General features: G+C 43.0%; 2 protein-coding genes across 3 annotated transcripts in view; one reads left to right on the plus strand and one right to left on the minus strand.

Annotated features, from left to right (window-relative positions):
• Positions 1–5,119, plus strand: part of AKAP14 (A-kinase anchoring protein 14) — a 24,824-nt gene extending 19,705 nt beyond the window's left edge. For both annotated transcript variants that reach the window (NM_178813.6, NM_001008534.2), the window contains 2 exons: positions 4,314–4,366; positions 4,911–5,119. In NM_178813.6, the coding sequence (NP_848928.1) occupies positions 4,314–4,366; positions 4,911–5,010 (153 nt within the window). In that variant the 3' untranslated portion in view covers positions 5,011–5,119. The remainder of the gene's footprint in view (positions 1–4,313; positions 4,367–4,910) is intronic.
• Positions 5,075–17,389, minus strand: part of NKAP (NFKB activating protein) — a 23,080-nt gene continuing 10,765 nt past the window's right edge. The window contains exons 6-9 of the mRNA NM_024528.4: positions 16,510–16,619; positions 16,339–16,414; positions 14,419–14,568; positions 5,075–9,797 (exon numbers count right to left, since the gene is read on the minus strand). Coding sequence (NP_078804.2) covers positions 9,623–9,797; positions 14,419–14,568; positions 16,339–16,414; positions 16,510–16,619 — 511 coding nt within the window. The 3' untranslated portion in view covers positions 5,075–9,622. The remainder of the gene's footprint in view (positions 9,798–14,418; positions 14,569–16,338; positions 16,415–16,509; positions 16,620–17,389) is intronic.

The following is a 17,389-nucleotide window of genomic DNA, read 5'->3' on the forward strand; positions in this document are numbered from 1 at the left end:
TGGGTTTAAGTGATTCTCCTGTCTCAACCTCCCAAGTAGCTGGGATTACAGTCGTGCGCCACCATGCCTGGCTGGTTTTTGTATTTTTAGTAGAGATGGGGTTTCACCATGTTGGCCAGGCTGCTCTCGAACTCCTGATCTCAAGTGATCCACCCACCTTGGCCTCCCAAAGTGCTGGGATTACAGGCTTGAGCCACCGTGCCCGGCCCCCCCAAACAATTTCTTACTACTCCACTTCTATCATCCTGGTCCAAGACACCATCTTCTCTCACCAAGATTATGTCAGTAGCCTCCTAATCAGTCTCTCTGCTTCCACCCTTGCCCTCATCATGTCTGTTTTCAATGTTGCAGGCAGCCTGAATGAGTCTTGTAAAACAAATTTTTCTTTTTCTTTTTTTTTTTAAGAGATGGTGTCTTGCTTTGTTACCCAGGCTGGTCTTGAACTCCTGGCCTCAGGCTATCCTCCTGCCTCAGCCTCTCAAAGTGCTGGACTTACAGGTGTGAACCACCACGCCCAGCTGTAAAACAAATTTGTCACTTTTGTGTTTAAAATTTTCCAAAAGTGCTTCTCAAACTTCTCTCTCTTTTTTTTTTAAGACAGAGTCGCTCTGTCATCCAGGTTGGGGCAGAGTGGTACAATCAGAGCTCACTGAGGCCTTGACATCCCAGGCTCAAGTGATCCTCCCACATCAGCCTTCCTTGTAGCTGGGACTACAGGTGCACACCACCATGCCCAGCAAACTTTGTGCTGGGATTACAGGCGTGAGCCACCACACCCAGCTGTAAAACAAATTTCCGTCACTCCTCTGTTTTATCTATATCTGTCTGCCTATCTAATCTATCTATCTATCTATCTATCTATCTATCTATCTATCTATCTATCTATCATCTATCTATATCTATCTACTTATTGAGACAGGGTCTCACTTTGTCACCCTGGCTGGCGGGCAGTGGCATGATCAGGGCTCACTGCAGCCTCTACTTCTTGGGCTCAAGCCATCCTCCTGCCTCAGCCCCCCAAGTATGGGACTACAGGCATGCACCACCACGCCTGGCTTTTTTTTTTTTTTTTTTTTGAGTTTTCGTAGAGACAAGGTCTTGCTATGTTGCACAGGCTGGTCTTGAACTCCTGAGCTCAAGTGATCCACCCGGCTTAGCCTCCCAAAGTGCTGGGATTACAAGCGTGAGCCACCGCGCCTGGCCCATTCTTCTGTTTAAAACTTTCCAAGGGCAGGCGCGGTGGCTCATGCTTGTAATCCCAGCACTTTGGGAGGCTTACGCGGGCAGATCATGAGGTCAGGAGTTCGAGACCAGCCCGACCAACATGGTGAAACCCCATCTCTACTAAAAATACAAAAATTAGCTGGGCATGGTGGCGCATGCCTGTAATCCCAGCTACTCAGGAGGCTGAGGCAGCAGAATTGCTTGAACCCAAAAGGCGGAGGTCACAGTGAGCCGAGATTGCGCCACTGCACTCTAGCCTGGGTGACAGAGCGAGACTCCGTCTCCAAAAAAAAAAAATTAAAAAAATAATAAAAATAAAAATTAAAAAAAAATAGATAAACTTTCCAAAAGTGCTTCTCAAAATTTAAAGTGCTGGCAGGGCATGGTAGCTCATGCCTGTAATCCCAGCACTTTGGGAGGCCGAGGTGGACAGATCACCTGAGGTCAGGAGTTCAAGACCAGCCTGGCTAACATGGTGAAACCCCGTTTCTACTAAAAATACAAAAATTAGGCCGGGCACGGTGGCTCATGCCTGTAATCCCAGCACTTTGGGAGGCCAAGGCAGGCGGATCACCTGAGGTTGGGAGTTCCAGACCAGCCTGACCAACACCCTGTCACTACTAAAAGTACAAAATTAGCCAGGCGTGGTGGCTCATGCCTATAATCCCAGTAACTCGGGAGGCTGAGGCAGGAGAATTGCTTGAACCCAGGAGGTGGAGGTTGCGGTGAGCTGAGATCATGCCATTGCACTCCAGCCTGGGTACCAAGAGCGAAACACCATTTCAAAAAAAAAAGAAAAACACAAAAATATAGCCGGGTCTGGTGGCTCATGCCTGTAGTCCCAGCTACTTGGGAGGTTGAGGCAGGAGAATGGCTTGAACCCAGGAGGTGGAGGTTGCAGTGACCAAGATGATGCCATTGTACTCCAGCCTGGGTGACAGAGTGAGATTCCATCTCAAAAAAGAAAGAAAGAAAGAAAGAAATTTAAAGTTTGTACAAATTACTTAGGGATCTTGTTAAAATGAAGAATCTGATTCAGCAGGTGTGGGGTAGGGATTCAGATTCTGCAAGACTAACAAGCTCGCAGACCATGCTGAGGCTGCAGGCCTAGAGACCAGCTTTCAGTAGTAAGGGCCTACAAGGCCCTGTGTGATCTGGTCCCTTGTTACTTGTGCTTTCCCACTACTCCTTCCCTCTCACTGTGCTCTGGCCATTCTGATCTTGCTTCTCCTCAAATAAGTCAGGTATAGTCCTGCCTCAGGGCCTTTGCACTTGCTTTTTCTTTTGACTAGAACACTCTCCCCTAGGCATGTGAATTGCCTGCTCCCTCACCTCCTCTTTCACTCACTTTCCTATGCTTTTTCTCCATAGCACTCACCACCTTTTCATATTCTATATAATTGTTTTTGTTTTGTTTTGTTTTTTTTTTAGATGGAGTCTCGTTCTGTCTTCTAGGCTGGAGTACAGTGGCCCAATCTCGGCTCACTGCAACCTCTGCTTCCTGGGTTTGAGTGATTCTCCTGCCTCAGCCTCCTGGGTAGCTGGGATTACAGGCACATGCCACCACACCCAGCTAATTTGTGTATTTTTAGTAGAGATGGGTTATCACCATGTCGGCCAGGCTGGTCTGGAACTCCTGACCTGAGGTGGTCCATCTGCCTCGGCCTCCCAAAGTGCTGGGATTACAGGCATGAGCCACCACACCCAGCCCTGTAATTGTTTTATTATTGTCTATTCCCTCCATCAGAATGTAAGCTCCATAAAGGCTGGGATTTTTGTCTTCCTGTAAAACAAGGCCTGGCAAATAGTAGGCACTCAATAAATACTTGAAAGAATGATTGCTGGTATCCACGAGGTAGACCATGAATAAGAAATATGTTAACTTGATAGCTGGTGTGAAAAGAGCCAAAATAACATCCATGAATCTAGGGGAAGGGTCGTCAGAGGAGCAGGGCTGGTACCAAGCATAGTGCCTGAAACATAACAGACATAAACATTTTATTTCCTCTTTGCCTTCCCATCCTTTCCCAAAAGTTATTTGCACCTTGGCCTGATGTTAAGATTTTGTATATGACCACACAGTCAGTGAGCCATCTATGTCCTATATTCATCCTATCCTAGTACAAATGTGCCTATTCAGAGCGTTTGGAACCTGCAGTAATCTAAAGAGGTGCAATATGCGGAGATCTTACTTCTGGTCATATATCCCTCTACCAGCTGTCTTGCTAATTGGCCAGGTCAGAGGTCAGGAAATGAGACTGGTGGAGGGGAACAAGACTACACCAGAGACCACACAGAGAGAGGTCTTGGGAGAATGGCTCTTGCTCAAAATTCCAAGTATAATTTTGGAGGCGAGGATGGGAGGGACTACTGAGACAATATTACAACCTACATGTTTATGCTGCTTTAAAAATGTTTCTCACCTTTTCATCTATATTAATTCATTTTCATGCCATTCCTATGAGGTAGAGATTGTCAGTTGAGTAAAGTGGAGCATGTAAAGAAGGTTAATGACTTACACTCCTATTAATGAGGAGCACAAGCCTGTCCCAAGTTATTTCCAATATTGTAAAGATTCTTAAGGTATTTGTTGTCAAAAAGATATTTTGGGGAACGGAGGTTTAAAGTGACAAAAAACTATCACCTATAGATTCCCAATTCATAAGCAAGATGAATTCTAGAAATTCAAAAGTATGCATATGGGCAAGTGTAGGGAAGTAAGGAATTAAGTTTGTACGATTGGGCTGGGCGTGGTGGCTCACGCCTGTAATCCCAGCACTTTGGGAGGCCGAGGTGGGCGGATCACCTGAGGTCAGGAATTCGAGACCAGCCTGGGCAACAAGGTAAAACTCCGTCTCTACTAAAAATAAAAAAAATAGCTGGGTGTGGTGGCGGGCATCTATGATCCCAGCTACTCAGGAGGCTGAGGCAGGAGAATCACTTGAACCCAGGGGGTGGAGGTTGCAGTGAGCTGAGATTGCACCACTGCACTTACACCTGGGAGACAGAGCAAGAAGACTCCATCTTGAAAAAAACAAAAAGAGTTGGTATGACTGGTCTGGGCTAACAGTTGTCCTTCTCTTTTTTAGGATGCACCCATTGTTGTTTCTTATGTAGGTGACCACCAAGCATTAGTTCACAGGTAATGAACATTTGGAGGTTTGTTTTAAAAGGGTGGGAGAAAGGTCATCACACTCCAGGAATCCAGCAGTTGCGCAACAACAGATAGTTCATGTAATGGTCACTTTTCTTCTTTGGACCACCAAGCCCATTAGAATGGGCTGAAACTGTTCTAGAAAATTATTTTTCTTAGTGTCTGGTTTTTCATTCATTATAAGCTTGAGGATTAGTTGCTGGAGTGGGGTGGAGGCAAAGTGGGTCATGTCTATCGTTTCTAAGGAAAACTTCAATATCACATAAAATTAACTCATGTATAATAATCCCTTTTATAGCAGCTCTCTTAAAGTATCTTTACATATAAGCTCATAAATCCTTTCATTGACTGGGCTTAAGAAACAGTAAAGGATAGACATAGAGAACCTTAGCTACCTCCCCTCCCCCGCCAATAAAAGAGGCTTCTTGCTTACTAGGAATATAAAAGAGTAAATAGGGAATCCCCTTTGTTTGATTTTAAAAGCTTTTGATTTAAAAATACTTTAAAAGTGTTTGTTTTTCTTCCTTTGTAGACCAGGAATGGTTCGCTTTCGAGAAAACTGGCAGAAGAATCTTACTGATGCCAAATATAGTTTCATGGAGTCATTCCCCTTCTTATTCAATCGTGTCTGATACTTACAGGATGTCTTAGGATTGTTTTTCTCATCAGGATACATTAAAAATACAATACAGCACGTCAAACCACAGAATATTTATTGAGTAATAAACTTGTGGCACACAATCCAGCTGTATTTTTTTGCATTCATTCATTTTCCATTCTGCAACCTCCATCACATTAGCAGAGTAACCAGTAAGTTGTTTTCTATTTTCTAAAGTATTTTTTTCTATCACTATATGTATCACTTCTGAGTCTTACAGGTATAGAGCTGAGTTTAGAGAGTTGCTAAAATTCACCTATTGGACCAAACTAAGGTTGGTACTTGGCTGTTTGTTCCCCATCTGAGCCTAAGTCTCCAGCTCAGACACATCTCTTTATGGGCACAACTGGGAACAACAAAATGGCAACAGTTCTACAGCTCATAATATAACCAGTCTGAAGGGTTCCCCTACTCACAGACCCCTTCATTTACTGGGAGTTAAGCCTCACTGCTAAATAATATATTTTGAAACTGGAAAACTGGGCATGCTGCCTTCCACAATACACCACTATACTCATGATTGCAGGAGGGTGGCTTGGGGACTAGGGGCAATGACACGGGAAGGATACAATCATTGCCCTTACTTATCTTTGATCTTCTTCCCATCCTCACACTGAATAATCACTTGTTCCTACCTTCCCTGTGAACCTCTCTTGCCTGGCTGCAAAATTTTAAGACACCAAAGACAAAATTACATTATGCTCTGAGTGATTACTTACAAGTACATCAGAATATTTACTTACATAGAAAAGCACTGGAAAGGAGGAACACAAAATATGAAAGACAATTGATATGGTACTGAAATTTTTCTTTTTTAACTGTTAGATATTTGTGCAATAAATAAAAAAGGAGGGAAAACCACATCAGAGCAATAGGCAAGGAGGTGGCAAACTAGATAAGTCTCCTTGGAGAACAAAAAATATATTTAAAATACAATAGCCCTACTACAACTGATTTATGGCTCAGGTGACTAAACACAATTTGAAGCAGTAACAACACTCATAAGCTGAAAATAAAATACTTTTAGCCCTTTTATTCTTCTTGCCTCTTTCCCAAAGAATATGCCAATGAAGCTGTTCTTGATGTCACAATATTCATATATCGCAGAATTTCTGCATTTAAACTACCTTGCCTACTGAAAATAAGATAATCATTTCATCTCTAGGAACCAGTAACCAAAAAAAAAATGTCCTTAGAGAATACATTTTTATTTGTTTGTTTATTTAGAGACGGAGTCTCATTCTGTCTCCCAGGCCGGAGTGCAGTGGCTTGATCTCGGCTCACTGCAACCTCCACCTCCCAGGTTCAAGCAATTCTCCTGCCTCAGCCTCCCGAGTAGCTGGGACTACAGGCACGTGCCACCATGCCCGGCTACATTTTTTGTATTTTTAGTAGAGATGGGGTTTCACCATGTTAGCCAGGATGGTCTTGATCTCCTGACCTCATGGTCCGCCCACCTCGGCCTCCCAAAGTGCTGGGATTATAGGTGTGAGCCACCACGCCCAGCTGAGAATAAAATTTTTAAGTGGGTATTACAAAATTCAGGTTTTATTATTCAGGGAAGTAGATGGATTGAGACTCAAAACTTTGGGAACTAGTTTCTTTTAACTTTTGAAAACTACAGATTTATTAGGCTAGGCAGCAACTACAATTAGGTATAAATAAACAGAAATCATTTCAAATTCAGGGGTCATTAATGCTGCTACATGCTGACTCTTATTTTCAGTAGTTGCGGGTTAAAAGTAGACATTTCCTGGAACATATATTTAATAGTATTTAAGACTGTTAATACTGTTTAATTATAAAACTTTGGGCCGGGTGTGGTGGCTCACGCCTATAATCCTAGCACTTTGGGAGGCCGAGGCGGGCGGATTGTTTGAGGTCTGGAGTTTGAGACCAGCCTGGGCAATAAGGTGAAACCTTGTCTCTACTAACTATACAAAAATTAGCTGGGCATGGTGGTGCACACTGGTAGTCCCAGCTGCTCGGGAGGCTGAGGTGGAGGATTGCTTGAGCCCAGGAGGTGGAGGTTGCAGTGAGCCGAGATTGCACCACTGAACTCTAGCCTGGGTGACAGAGGGAGACCCTGTCTCAAAAATAATAATAAAAAAACTTTTGCTCTATACTTTGAAATATGACTGCCTTATTTAAACACTTTTGAAAAACAACCACTTAAAAATATAAGGCAAGCGGGCATTTTACAATAGTATAATCAGAATGTCCTTATCACTCAGGTAATTTAAATTTATCATAGGCATGTAATAATAATGCAGATCAAATAACCTTAACAAAAACGGCCAGGCACGGTTGCTCACACCTGTAATCCCAGCATTTCAGGAGGCTGAGGCGGGCAGATCACTTGAGGTCAGGAGTTCGAGACCAGCCTGGCCAAGATGGCGAAACCCCATCTCTATTGAAAATACAAAAATTAGCCAGTTGTGGTGGTGAGTGCCTGTAATCCCAGCTACTTGGGAGGCTGAGGTGGGAGGATCACTTGAACCCAGGAGGCAGAGGTTACAGTGAGCCGAGATCACACCACTGGGCTCCAGCCTGAGTGACAGAGTGAGACTCTATCTCAAAAAACAAAAAACAGAAAACCAACCTTAATGAAAACAGCCAAAACTTCCTGGGTTCCCTCCCCCATTCACTCTTCTGACCTAATTAAAATTGAACGAAATAAACAAAGGAACAAGACCACGATATCATAGTCCCACAATTTTCCATTTCTCCCCAACTTAAAAACAAACAGAAAGGTTTAAGTGTTTAAAATGAAATCTACTTAGTATATGAAAGACAGTTAAAAATATTTAATATCATTTTAGTTTCTCTTATGAAACAATTAAGCTAAAATACTGACTCATTATATTTTTCCTTATCAAAACTCTTGACCATAGTTGACTCCTATTCTTTTGGATGTTATCCTATCCTCAAGCTCATATCAGCTCAGATTGAAATAAAGTATTTACATGGGGATAAGAGTAGACTTCTTAAGACTTTATATTTCAAATAACTATTTTTAAGTAACTTATTAAGAATTTAGGCTGGACGCAGTGGCTCATGCCTGTAATCCCAGCACTTTGGGAGGCCAAGGCGGGCGGATCACCTGGGGTTGGGAGTTCGAGACCAGCCTGACCAACATGGAGAAACCCCATCTCTACTAAAAATACAAAATTAGCCAGGCATGGTGGCACATGCCTGTAATCCCAGCTACTCAGGAGGCTGAGGCAGGAGAACTGCTTGAACTTAGGAGGTGGAGGTTGTGGTGAGCCGAGATCACCCCATTGTACTCCAGCCTGGGCAACAAGAGCGAGATTCCATCTCAAAAAAAACAATTTAAAATATCTAATGTTCACATTTTCAATTCAACAAATCTGTGGGTTAGTTTGCTTTTTGGTTTGTTTGTTGGTTTTAGAGTGGAGGTAGGGACTTAAATCAAAACCCATTATTTCCAGGGTAGATCATATATTATAGTACACAAGTCAGTTTTCAAATTCCAGATTTGCTTTTCGCAGCAATGCCTTCATTTTGTTAACAAAAGTGGCCTCCTATATGTTCCTATCAAGTCCATTTATAACACATTCAACACAGAGGAGTGATAATTTCCCAAAAGTTCAGCTGGGGTAGAGGTCGGGGTGGGGCAGGCATCACATAGAGCTAATAGTAGCACTGTCTCATGGTGTGAGATTGAAGTTTCTCATCTCACTAACACTTTTTGTTCAAGCCACCTCCTCCAATACAGTAGCATTTTATTCATAATTTGGATTTTTTTTTTTTGAGACAGAGTTTCACTCTTCTTGCCCAGGCTGGAGTGCAATGTCACAATCTCGGCTCACTGCAACCTCCGCCTCCTGGATTCAAGCAATTCTCCTGCCTCAGCCTCCCGAGTAGTTGGGATTACAGGCGCCCACCACCACGCCCGGCTAATTTTTGTATTTTTTGGTAGAGACAGGGTTTCACCATGTTGGCCAGGCTGGTCTCGACTCCTGACCTCAGGTGATCCACCCGCCTTGGCCTCCCAAAGTGCTGGGATTACAGGCGTGAGCCACCGTGCCTGGCCTTTTATTTTTTTCTGAGACACAGTCTTGCTTTGTCGCCCAGGCTGGAGTGCAGTGGCACAATCTCGGCTCACTGCAACCTCCACCTCCTAGGTTCAAGCAATTCTCCTGCCTCTTCCTCTCGAGTAGCTGGGACTACAGGTGTGCGCCACCACTCCTGGCTGATTTTGTATTTTCAGTAGGGACAGGGTTTCACCATGTTGGCCAGGCTGGTCTCGAACTCCTGGCCTCAAGTGATCCACCCGCCTCAGCCTCCCAAAGTGCTGGGATTACAGGCGTGAGCAACCGTGCCCAGCCCATAATTTGGATTTTTAAACCAGAAAGTTACTATGGTCAATCCAAAATAACCCAAAGAACTTGCTAAAGTTATATCAATAAGCAGCTTTTTATTGAAGGACTGAAAGAATTAAATAGAAGGCACAGTAGCACTGTAAAGCTTTCTCAGAACATAATAATCTTTTTCTATGTATGTGTGGAACCCAGACTTTCTTTTTTGTTGTTAAAAATGTCTTCTGGACAATCAGAAAATCTTTATTTGTCATCCTTCCCTTTGGTCTTTCTGTAAACCATTTCTCGAAAACTGGCCAGAATCTTGTTCTCTCTCTTTCGTCTCTCTTCTTGGTTAAAGGATGCAAGGGCTCTCTTCTCATCAGCACTGTAGATCTGGTTCTCTTTTCGCAGTCGCACAGCCTCCATTCGGCGATGCCTGGAGAGAATTTTATTTTTGGCTTAATTTCTCAGTAATTATTTTCATAGTACATCATCATTAATCCTTTCTTACCCAGAGTGGTCTATTTAACAGCTGACAAAAATTGAAATGGGTTAAATTTCCAAAAGATCATTTATTAATATTTTAGCTGCCTGACACGTCCTTTTTTTTTGTTTTGTTTTGAGATGGAGTCTTGCTCTGTTGCCTAGGTTGGAATGCAGTGGCACGATCTCGGCTCACTGCAACTTCCACCTCCCTGGCTCAAGCAATTCCCCCATCTCAGCCTCCTGAGTAGCTGAGATAACAGGTCTGGCTAATTTTTGCATTTTTAGTAGAGATGGGGTTTCACCATGTTGGCTAGGCTGATCTCGAACTCCTGACCTCAAGTAATCCGCCTGTCTCAGCCTCCCAAAGTGCTGAGATTACAGGCGTGAGCCACCGTGCCCGGCCCTGATATGTCTTTGATTCATTTCCACTATTCAAATAATGATCTCTGATTTCCTGTCAACATAGTAAATGTTATCCTTTTTTCTTTTTTTTTTTTTTTTAATTTTTTTTTTTTTTTTTTTTGAGACGGAGTCTCGCTCTGTCGCCCAGGCCGGACTGCGGACTGCAGTGGCGCAATCTCGGCTCACTGCAAGCTCCGCTTCCCGGGTTCACGCCATTCTCCTGCCTCAGCCTCCCCAGTAGCTGGGACTACAGGCGCCCGCCACCGCGCCCGGCTAATTTTTTGTATTTTTAGTAGAGACGGGGTTTCACCTTGTTAGCCAGGATGGTCTCGATCTCCTGACCTCATGATCCACCCACCTCGGCCTCCCAAAGTGCTGGGATTACAGGCGTGAGCCACCGCGCCTGGCCTATCCTTTTTTCTTTTCTCCTTTTTGTGAGTCTTAAAGTCTGGCTCTGTCACCAAGGCTGGAGTGCAGTGGCACAATCTTGGCTCACTGCGACCTCTGCCTCCTGGGCTCAAGTGATTCCCCTGCCTCAGCCTCCCGAGTAGCCGGGAGTACAGGTGTGTGCCACCACGCCCGACTAATTTTTGTATTTTTAGTAGAGATGGGGTTTCGCCATGTTGGCCATGCTGGTTTCGAACTCCTGACCTCAGGTGATCCACCTGCCTTGGCCTCCCAAAGTGCTGGGATTACAGGTGTGAGCCACCATGCCTGGCCGCTATCATTAATTTCAAATACTAAGGGTATACGTCTAATTTGTTTCCAGTAAAACAATCAGAAATGGGCAAATTATTAAACTTCCTAGGTGACATATCCATTTGCCTTTGTGGAATTGGAAGTAGGATAGATAAAACATTTAACTAGTCATTAATCAGATGGAACTTCCTTCAAGGTTCTACTTTACCATAAAACCAAAAGAACCAAGTCTAGGCTGGGCATGGTGGCTCACGCCTGTAATCTCAGCACTTTTGGAGGCTGAGGCAGGCAGGTCACCTGAGGTCAGGAGTTTAAGACCAGCCTGGCCAACGTGGTGAAACCTCGTCTCTGCTAAAAATACAAAAATTAGCTGGGTGTGGTGGTGGGCACCCGTAATCCCAGCTACTTGGGAGGCTGAGGCAGGAGAATCATTTGAACCCAGGAGGTGGAGGTTGCAGTGAGCTGAGATTGCGCCACTGTACTCCAGCCTGGGAGACAAGAGTGAAACTAGGTCTCAAAAAAAAAAAAAAAAAAAAAAGAACCAAGTCTAAATCTGTAATTGAACAGCAGTTTTTATCAGTGGATTTAACTTCCAAGTCTCCCTCTGTCACCCAGGCTGGAGTGCAGTGGCATAATCTCGGCTTATTGCAACCTCCGCCTCCCAGGTTCAACCGATTCTCCTGCCTCAGCCTCCTATTTCATGTACTGAATAGTTCTTTCTTTCCCCATTGATCTGACATGCTATCTCTTTCATACACTGAAGTTCCATACGTGTATGGTTATCTTTGGGCTCTGAATTTTATTTTATTTTTTTTTGAGATAGTGTTTTGCTCTTGTTGCCCAGACTAGAGTACAATGGCGAGGTCTCAGCTCACTACAACCTCCACCTCATGGGTTCAAGCGATTCTCCTGCCTCAGCCTCCCAAGTAGCTGGGACTACAGGCACTAGCCACCACGCCCAGCTAATTTTTGTATTTTTGGTAGAGATGGGGTTTCACCATGTTGGCCAGGCTGGTCTTGAACTCCTGACCTCAGGTGATCCACCCGCCTCAGCCTCCCAAAGTGCTGGGATTACAGGCATGAGCCACCACGCCCGGCCTGAATTTTATTCCACTGAACAATTCAGTTGTTCTCCTATGCTTTCTAAAGTGCTGTAAGCTTCATAATAAGTCCTCCTATTTGTAGGGGAAATCTTACCTTCCTGCTCTTCTTTTTCAGGAGTGACTTGGCTATTCTTGTCCTTTTAGTCTAGTATATAAATTTTAGAACTGGCTTATTAAGTTTCATGAAAAACTGTGTTCTGATTTTGATTGGGACTGTATTGAATATAAAGATCAATTTGGGAAGAAATGACAACTTTACAATATTGCCTTCCTATCCGTGAACCTGGTATCTCTCCAGCTATTTAAGTTTTCTTTAATCTTACCTTCTTGCTCTTCTTCTTCAGAAGTGACCTGGCTATTCTTGTCCTTTTAGTGTAATATATAAATTTTAGAACCAGCTTAATAAGTCTCATAAACAACTGTGTTGTGATTTTGATTGGAACTATATTGAAGATATGGACTCTTAATGTCTTACATTTTTCCCCATAGAACCTTGGGCATCTTTTGTTAAGATTTATTCTTAAGTCTCTCATATTCTGACACTGTTATAAACGTTCAAGGTTCTAGGTTTCTGTTGTTAGTAAATAGAAATGCAGTTCATTTTTATTGGAACTGTATTGAATACACAATCTCTTAATAATGTTTTATAGTTTTCCTCACAGAGCCCTGGGCATCTTTTGTTAAGATTTATTCTGAAGTCCTTCATATTCTCTGATACTATTACAAATGTTTTCTTCTTATTTAGTTACATTTTCTAGTTGTCTGTTGCTGGTAAATAGAAATGCAATGGATTTTTGTGTACTAACCTTATATCCAACCAGTTGTTAAACCCTCCTCTCATTTATAATTTATCTGGAGATTCTTTGGGATTTTCTATGTAAACAATCAAATCATTCACCATGTCATTCACAAAAAAATGACATTTTTTTTTTAAGACGGAGTTTCACTCTTGTCACCCAGGCTGGAGTGCAATGGCACGATCTTGGCTCACTGTAACCTCCTCCTGGATTCAGGTGATTCTCCTGCCTCAGCCTCCTGAGGAGCTGGGACTACAGGTGTCCGCCACCATGCCCAGCTAATTTTTGTATTTTTGGTAAAGACAGGGTTTCACCATGTTGGCCAGGCTGGTCTTGAACTCCTGACCTCAGGTGATCCACCCAACTATGCCTCCCAAAGTGCTGGGATTACAGGCGTGAGCCACCACGCCTGGCTAAAAAATGACATTGTTATATCGCCCTTTCCAATCCTTATTATTATTATTACTGTTTTTTCAGGCTGAGTTTTGCTCTCCAGGCTGGCATGCAGTGGTGTGATCTTGGCTCATTGCAACCTCCGCCTCCTGGGTTCATGCGATTCTCCTGCTTCAGCCTCCTGAGTAGCTGGGATTACAGGTGTGTACCACCACGTCTGGCTAATTTTTGTGTTTTTAGTAGAGAAGGGTTTCGCCATGTTGCCCAGGCTAGTCTTGAACTCCTGGACTCAAGTGATCTGCCTGCCTTGGCCTCCCAAAGTGCTGGGATTACAGGCATGAGCCACCGTGCCCAGCCTTCCTTTCCAATCCTTGTGTCTCTAATTTCTTTTTCTTGCCTTACTGTGTGGGTCCTCCAATGCAATGCTTCAAATATTGGTCCTCAGTATTACAAGATTCTGGAGGTGCTTCAGGGTTTCTGCAAATATTTGCCTTCAGTGTCATTTAAAAATAGTTATCTACTTAAAAAAAAAGTTTATCAAGTTTTAAAGAATCCAAAATTCAATTTGATCTAAGTACTGCTGCCCTATTTGCTCATTCTCCTGGTTCTTCCTGGAACTTTTCTCTTTCCTAATTTTATATTCATTTCCCATGCTGAATCCAGTGTCTTTTTAAAATTTATTTATTTATTCATTTATTTATTAGCCAGGATATATTCTCAGCTGACCAATGTCTTTTATCATCTTTTTCTGTTATTCAGTCTCAGAAATCTGGGTCCATAAAAAACTGAAGACAAACTTGTAACCAGGAAACACTGTCTTGTGAAAATATTTTCCTAACTGCCACATTCCTCATGGGGCAGTGATAAATAGCTGAATTTAACTATATCCTCCAGTGGATAAAATATCTGTAAGCAAATACCAACTAGGAAAGGACATTAGGAAGATTGATTCTTTGAAGTCAGAGATATAGCTGAGTTTGAGGCTGAGTTGCATATATACTTGGAATTGCAGAAAACCATGTTATACTAACAACACTAATATCAAACCAATATTTATACTCTACTTTTCATAAGAAACAGTCACTTAATGAAAATCAATTACCAAAATATAATTCTGGTAGTAAAAAAGAAGAAAAAGATCTAATCATGGAAACTGAGCTTAATGCCAACAACATACCTGCTACCACTCATTACATAACCTGAGCATTCAAATGATGCAATTTCTTCACTTGTCAAGCCAATTTCACCTCTTCGTGGGATACGTTTTCCAGCTTTTACATATTCAGCCATAGCTGCACCTTCACCAGGTAACAGAGCATGGCCATAGCTACAAAGTAATTCAGAATTCAGAAAAGGTCCATTAAATCATCTTAATATTAAAAGCTTATAATCTAAAGAGAGCACCAAAAATCCCCACATTTTCTCTCAAACAAGAGTAGGAATAACAGTGCTCAGCAGTAGTGTGCTAGGAAGCTCAATGTGAATTGCTTTATCCTAATTAGTGTATTAAACATTGCATTGCACTATGACCTATACAACTAACCCAGAAATGCAGAAATATTTTGAAAGAAAAGAACTGCTGTGAGTATAGATTCACAGTTTACAATTATGGATTAATTTATCCCTACAGGTATTGTCATTACTGGTTCTGGCTCCAGCTGATTCCCTTTCCCTTTTTCCCTTAAAAAATCCAAAGTATGCCAGGCACAGTGGCTCACGCCTACAATCTGAACACTTTGGGAGGCTGAGGCGGGAGGATCACCTGAGATCAGGAGCTTGAGAGCAGCCTGGCCAACATAGCGAAACCCCGTCTCTACTAAAAATACAAAATTAGCCGGGCATGGTGGTGCATGCTTGTAGTCCCAGCTACTCAGGAGGCTGAGGCAGGAGAATCACTTGAACCTGGGAGGCAGAGGTTGCAGTGAGCCGAGATCGTGTCACTGCACTCCAGCCTGGGCGACAGAGTAAGGCTTTGTCTCAAAAAACAAAACAAAACAAAACAAAAAAAAAAAACAAAGTAGGCTGGGTGCAGTGGCTGACGCCTGTAATCTCAGCATTTTTGGAGGTTGAGGCGGGCAGATCACTTGAGATCAGGAGTTCGAGACCATACTGGCCAACATGGCGAAACCCCAGCTCTACTAAAAATACAAAAATTAGTCCGGGCGTGGCGGCAGGCGCCTGTAATCCTGGCTACTTGGGAGGCTGAGGCAGGAGAATCACTTGAATCTGGGAGGTGGAGGTTGCAGTGAGCCAAGATCATGCCACTGCACTCCAGCCTGGGCAACAGAGTGAAACTCAATCACACCACTGTGCTTCAGCCTGGGAGACAGAGTGAGACTCCATCTCAAAAAAACAAAACAAAACAAACAAAAAAAAAATTCTAGACCAGGTGCGGTGGCTCACGCCTGTAATCCCAGCACTTTGGGAGGCTGAGGCAGGTGGATCATGAGGTCAGGAATTTGAGACCAGCCTGACCAACATGGTAAAACCGTATCTCTACTGAAAATACAAAAAAAAATTAGCTGAGTGTGGTGGCGCGTGCCTGTAATCCCAGTTACTCAGGAGGCTGAGGCAGGAGAATCGCTTGAACCTGGGAGGCAGAGGTTGCAGTGAGCCAAGATCACGCCACTAAACTCCAGCCTGGGCAACAGAGCGAGACTCCGTCTCACAAAAAGAAAAAAAAATTCTGCTGGTAAAAAAAGAAAAAAGAGAAAAAAAGGAATAAAAAATTCTGTGAGGATCAAAGAGAAACAGAAATCACACCTACTTGTGGAGGGGAAGTATTGGGAATCAGCATATGCATCTCCTTTTGAAAAGGGCTTCGAAGGATAGTAAGGATTTTAACAGGAAGAAACTGGCGATAGGGAAGAAAACAGAGGGCAGGGAAAAGAAGGGAAGGCATACTGGATGAAGAAATAAGCTGAACATGGCATAAAAGTTGCAAAGTGCACATTAAGCCCAGGGAATATTTAGTAGTCCAGCTCAGCTGGAACCTGGAGTAGAAATAAGGGAATAGAGTCAGATAAGCTTGGCAAGGTAAGTTAGAACCAGACTTTTTGGTAGGTACTTTAGATATTATAAACACACTGCTGCTTACTTCAAAGGTTTATCATCTTGAGAGGTAAGTGTTTTTGGAGCCTCTGGGCCAATTAAATCTGATGGTTCTTCAGCCTCTGCATGAAAGATATTAAGAAACACATTCACATTCTGACTAATTGGTTACTTTAATGTTTCATCTGTTCTGAGTTAGTCTATCAGAAGAACCTACTTGTTCGATCCTTCCAGGGATTTTCCAGAAACTCTTCTTGGGATTCTTTAGAGCTTGAATCACTGGACTCTTTTCTGCTCTTCTTAGACCTCTTTTTCTTATATTTCTTCCTATAGGGATTTTAATTTGATACAAATTCACTTAATCTTCCTATGTTAGAGGGCATCTTAATTTTTCTTTTCTTTTTAAATTTTGAACTGGTGACTATACATCTTAATTTTTCAAGGCAAAGAAAGGTGACAATAAAATGATCTGAATTCCCAGCTTATTCAAACTTACAAGATAATTTTACTTAAAAAAATCTGCTTCTAACTGAACCTGGGAAACAGAGCAAGACCCCGTCTCTATTAAAAAAAAAAAAAAGTAGCTGGGTGTGATGGCACACATCTGTAGTCTAAGCTATTCAGGAGGCTGAGGCGGGAGGATCACTTGAGCCCAGGAGTTCGAGGCTGCAATGAGCTATGATTAGCCCACTGCACTCCAGTCTGGGCAACAGAGCGAGACACTGCCTCTTAAGAATTTTTTTAAAAAGTATTCTAACTTATTTAACCAAATCATCTTTTGCTATAAAAATTATCACTAAAGGAGGCTGGGTGTAGTGTTTCACCCCTGTAATCCCAGCACATTGGAAGACTGAGGCGGGTGGGTCACTTGAGCCCAGGGGTTAGAAACTAGCCCTGGGCAACATGACGAAACCGTGTCTCTACAAAAAATACAAAAATTAGCCAGGTGTGGTGGCACACGCCTGTAGTCCCAGGTATGGGGAAAGTGGGGGCAGAGGTGGGAGGATGGCTTGATCCTGGAAGGTTGAGGTTGTAGTGAGCTGTGATCGTGCCACTGCATTCCAGCCTGGGTGACAGGGTGAGACACGGTCTCAAAA

Source organism: Homo sapiens, chromosome X (genome assembly GCF_000001405.40).
Source record: "Homo sapiens chromosome X, GRCh38.p14 Primary Assembly".
Classification (NCBI taxonomy): Eukaryota; Metazoa; Chordata; class Mammalia; order Primates; family Hominidae; genus Homo; species Homo sapiens.